This window comes from Homo sapiens, chromosome 2, assembly GCF_000001405.40.
Source record: "Homo sapiens chromosome 2, GRCh38.p14 Primary Assembly".
NCBI lineage: Eukaryota > Metazoa > Chordata > Mammalia > Primates > Hominidae > Homo > Homo sapiens.
In genome coordinates, this window is record NC_000002.12 from 132,325,626 (window position 1) to 132,331,625 (window position 6,000).

Genomic DNA, 6,000 nt, shown 5'->3' on the forward strand with positions numbered 1-6,000 from the left:
CTTGTCTATTAACATAAAGAATGAGGTACTTTATTGTTCACTTAAAATCTTTATGTGGTTGGGCTCTGTGGGGTGGCACATACCAGTAACATACCTGTAGTCTCAGCTACTGGGGAGGCAGAAGGATCACTTGAGGGCAGGAGTTTGAGGCTATTGGGTGCTACAGTTGTGCCTGTGAATAGCCACTGCACTCTAGCCTGGGCAACTTAGCTAAAAAAATTTATGTGGTTAAAATTTCAATGTGTTTATGAAATTTTTGTATAACGATTTTTTAAAAGAAAACTTTCCCATACTCCCAGGAACTAATTATTTTCAAAACATGAAGAATATGTTTTAAGTGGTATCAGGCACAAATCTAATTTTAATTTTTTCTAATTGGATAGTCAAGGCTTTCAACATTTATTGATGAGTCCCTTTTTTATTTACTGATCTTAAAGGTCACATTTATACTACACTAGGTATATCCATTCCTGGAGTCTCCTATCTTTTATGTTTATCACTGAAATCTCTGACCATTTTTTTTTTTTTTTTTGAGATAGAGTCTTGCTCTGTCACCAGGCTGGAATGCAGTGGCATGATCTTGGTTCACTGCAACTTCTGCTTCCTGGGTTCAAGTGATTCTCCTGCCTCAGCCTCCTGAGTAGCTGGCATTACAGGAGCCTGCCACCGTGCCCAGCTAATTTTTGTATTTTTAGTAGAGAGGAGGTCTCATCATGTTGGTCAAGATGGTCTCCTGATCTCATGATCCACCCACCTCAGCCTCCCAAAGTGTTGGGATTACAGGTATGAGCCACCATACCCAGCCCATTTTTGTTTATTCTCAAACCACTATCTCACATCTTTAAGAATGATACTTTTGGTACAAGGCAAGTAACAGTGAATATGCTAAGTGTATGTTTAACTTTACTATTTCTAAAAATGACTATACCACTTCATACTTCCATTAGCAGTCAATGCAAGATCACTTGTTCTACATGCTAACCAATACTTGGGATTTTTAGTCATTGGGATTATTTGTAGTGTTATCTCACTGTGGTTTAATTAGCATTTCCCTGATAAGTAATGATGTGGTTATCAGTCATTTTATCATGTGCTGATTGGTCATTTTATATCTTCTTTGGAAAAGAACTTTTGAAAGTTTTGCTTCCTTACTGTTGAGTTGTAAGATTTCTTAATATAGCCTAGATACAAATCCTTTCTCAGATAAATACATTATTAATATTTTTTCCTAGTCTTAGCTTGCCTCTTCATTTTGTTAATGTTTTTAAGAGAGTAAGTTAATTTGATGAAGTTCTGGTTTATCTTTTTAAATTAGATTTTGTGCTCTTTTTTGCCTATGAAATCTTTTTTTGCCTATCCCAAGGTTTTGAAAATGTTCTCCTATATTTTCTTGTATAACATTTGTAGTTTTAGCTTTTCATTTAGGTCTGTTACCTATTTTGAGTTCTTTTTGTGTATGACGTGAGGTAAGTGTTGAGGTTCATAATTTTCGAATAGGTGTCCAGTTGTTCTAGTGCTATTTTTTGAAACAACTTTCTCCCATTGAATTACCTTTGTGGCTGCACCGAAAATAAACTGATCATATATACTTGGCTGTATTTTCTGGAATCACTTCTGTTCCACTGATTTATATAAATATTGTTAAGCTTTCACTATGTCTTGACTACAGGAGCTTTAGAATAAGTTTTGAAATCTGATACTGTTATTCCTCTAATGATGTTCTTCCTTTTCAAAACAATTTTGACTATTCTAGTTTTTTTAGTTGGCTGTTTTTTGCATATCAATGTAAATCTTAATATTAGTTTCTGCAAAAAGCCTGCTCTAAATTTGATTGATACTGTGTTGACTTTATAGATCAATTTGGAATTCCGGTTCTGGGTAAGATGGAGTAAGCCAGTGGCTGGGAAATTCTGGCCTAATGGTTAAATATGGTGTATTGACTGTTTTTGTAGGCCCCCATGAAGTAATAATGGCTTTTACATTTTTTATTGAGACAGGGTCTCACTCCATCGCCCAGGCTGGAGTGCAGTGGCATGATCTTGGCTCACTGCAGCATCAACCTCCTGGGATCAAAAAATCCTCTTACCTTAACTTCCTGAGTAGCTGGGACTATAAGCATGCACCACCATGTCCAGCTAATTTTTTGCATTTTTGTAGAGATGGGGTTTTACCATGTTGCTCAGGCTGGTCTCAAACTCCTGAGCTCAAGCATTCTGCCCTCCTTGGCCTGACAAAGTGCTGGGATTACAGGTGTGAGCTATCACACCCAGCCTACATTTTTAAATAGTCAAAAAAATCAAAAGAAGAATATTTTATGACATATGATAAGTATGTAAAATTCAAATTTCAGCATTCATAACTTTTGGTTGAAACACAGTTATGCTTATTTGTTTACATATTGTCTATGGCTGTTTTCCTGTTATATTGGTACAGTTGTGTACTTATGATAGAGACCATATATAATGCTCTCATCACTTCATACTTCTACTCAGTGTATCATAAATCACAGTAACACAGTTATTACAAGTTAACAGATTTTTGAGTGTCATATGTATCACTCTACTATGATATTTTATTTATTATGCATATTCGTCATGTCAAAACAAGAAGAGAAAATCAAATTTTGAATGTCATGCTTTTAAGGTATAGTAAAGTGTGGATTATTTTGTTATAGAATCTGACGGCTGACTATTGTGTTTGTTATGCAGTGACAGCTGTACAAGAAGAAAAATTATAACATTAATACTGCCAGATTAAAAACTTATCCCAATATTTCCAAATCACAGATAATTATGGCCAAAAATAAAAAATTTAAAATGGAATATCTTATCAAAGCAGAATTACTTTTATGAAATAACAAATGAAAATGAGGCTATAACCAAAGTAAGTTTTAGAGTGGCTAATCTGTTAGTCAAGCAAGAAAAGTTATTTACTGATGATGAGTTGGTTGAATCATATTTTGCAGCAGCTGAAGAAATGTATCATATAAATTTGTCTAAGACTATAAGCCTTTTGACAAGGACAGTTTCTTAAAAAGTTGAGAACATTGGGAGCAGCACTGATAGTCACTTTAAAAACAAGATAATAAAAAATTCCCAATTATTGTTGCCAGTGATAGTGAAAATTTATCAGCCATAAGTGAACACAAAACAAACAAAACTGAAAGACAAAATTATAAGAAAATTAAAATGAGAAAAACAGAGGATCAACAAATTTCTATTGTCACTTTGTATTTACCTCTGGGAGCCAAGAAACAATGCAACTGGGCTTAAGACCATCACTGAGGTGTACTTTTCTGGTGACAAACATTACCTGGATTTGTTACATGAATCTATTTGGCATCTCTGTGGGACCCCCAAAACTGTTAAAAAAATAATTTTCAAAAAATAAAATCATAACTCTTACACAGGTATGAAAAGACCAGCTAGGGAATGATAAACTATTTGCAAATCATGTATGTGTAAAAGTCTTGTATAGAGAACATATAAAAACTCTCAAAACTCAATAGGAAAACAATCCAATTTTTTAAGCTAAAAGATTTAAACAAGCACTTCACTGAAAAAGATATACGTATGACAAAGGGGCACATGCAAAGATAATCAACATCATTAGTCATTAGGGAAATATAAATCAAGACCACAGTGAAATATAACTACACATCTATTAGAACAGCTAAAAAAAAAATAGCAACAATGTCAAACTCTGACAAGAATGTAAAGAGACTGGAAGTCTCACAAATTTCTGTTGGGAATGTAAAGTAGTAGAGCCACTCCAGAAAACAGTTTGACAGTTCCTTAAAAAATTAAACATATCCTTACCATACAACCCCATAACTTCAATCCTGGACATGTACTCCAGAGAAATGAAAACTTACATACACGAACAAATGCACACAAACCTGTACATGAATGTTCATAGTAGCTTTATTCATAACGGCAAAAAACTGGAAACAACCAAAATGTTCCCTAATAGGTAAATGTTAAACAAATCGTGGTACATCCATACCGTGGAATACTACTCAGCAATAAAAAGGAATGGACTATTGATACACACACAACTTAGAGGGATCTTAAGATAATTATGCTAAGTGAAAAATGTGAATCTATTTTATGGTTCTAGTTGTATAACATTCTTGAAATGACCAAATTATAGAGATGGAAAGCAGATTAGTTGTTTCTAGATATCAGGAATGGTGGAAGGGAGGGGACTGGGTGTGACTATCAAGATGTAGCAAGAAGGAGGGCTTTGCAGTGATGGAATAGTTATTTATCTTGATTGTGGTAGTAGCTATATCCGTCTACAAGTGATAACATACAACTACACATATTCATGGTATCAATATAATTCCCTGGTTTTGATGTTGTATTTTAATTAAGGACAGTATAATCATTGGGTGAAACTGGGTGAAGGGTACGTGGGACCTCTTTCTACTATCTTTTCAATTTCATATGAATCTGTGATTATTTTAAAATAAAATGTTTAAAAAATAATTGGATGCTTAGGATCTCTATAGAGGATTTTATTTATTTCTGCCAGATTTACAAGCAATACAGGGTCAGGGATTGAGTTGACTTGGATTTGGGTTTGAATACCTGCCAAGTTGGGCCTACTTCCCATTCAACTTTACACCTAGGATGCAGCCCTTTGGTGTTCCATACACAAAACCCACGTGATTTTTTTTTCTTTTTTTTGAGACGGAGTCTCCCTCTGTAGCCCAGTCTGGAGTGCAGTAGTACGATCTCAGCTCACTGCAAGCTCTGCTTCCCGGGTTCAAGTGGTTCTCCTGCCTCAGCCTCCTGAGTAGCTGGGACTACAGGTGTGCGCCAACACAACCGGCTAATTTTTGTATTTTTAGTAGAGACAGGGTTTCACCATGTTAGCCAGCATGGTCTCAATCTCCTGACCTCGTGATCTGCCCACCTTGGCCTCCCAAAGTGCTGGGATTACAGGCATGAGACACCGTGCCCCAAGTGATTTTTTAAACCATGGTTATCCACCCCATCTTTGGCAGGTCCTAGACTCCAACTATCAGCTTCTCAGGTTTTTACCTTAAGGAATTGGCAAATTCCACCTCAAATTTTTTTTGAGATAAAAGTGGTCTCAAATACCTAGCTTACCTTAATGGATTTTTTGCAGAGACAAGGTCTCACAGCATTGCCCAGGCTGGTCTCAAACTCCTTGACTCAAGCAATCCTCTCACCTCAGCCTCCCAAAGTGCTGGAGATTACAGGTATGAGCCATTGTACTCAGTCTAGAATCTGATTTGTTATGATGGTTTCCATATTTTAATCTGTCTCTTTTTGCATATATGCTGTTATTTATTTTTGTCTTTCTCTTCAGAGGGAAACTTGCTGAGGATTTGCATTGACTTTAGTTGAAGAGAATATGGTTTTTGTTTCCAATATTTCCAGTCCCTTCTATGAAGTATTGCAAAAACCAATAACTTGTATTTAATCTAGACTTTACATCAAATTTCTACTTTACAGAACATTTAAAAGAGCAGAGGAGAAAATATGGCGATGCCTTTAGACAAATCCAGAATTTAGACACCTAATTTGACATTTTTATTTCCCCAGCAGTTCAAGGAAATAAAAAATGGTGGTGGTAGTGCTGTGTGTGGGAGGGTCGGGGTGGGGGCATAGTTTTAGAGTAAATGACTTCTTGGTGAGATAACAATCAAATAAAATGGATCAAAATATTCGGATAATGACTGGAATAAACCAGCTGTAAAAGTACTTTTCCCCAAAAAAACAGGATTCAAATTGGGACGCATATTAGATAATACTAAGAATTGTTAATTTTATTTCATGAGGTAACGATTTTGTGGTTATGTTAAAACATCATTATTTTTAAGTGATACAAATAGTATTGGGAAGGGATAAGGCCAGGGATCTACTTTAAAATATTTCAGTAACAAAATTCAATAGTCATAGATATTGCCTGTATGGCAAAATGTTGGGAAGTGTTGAATTTAGGGTAGGCGCATTTGGTGTTTCATGT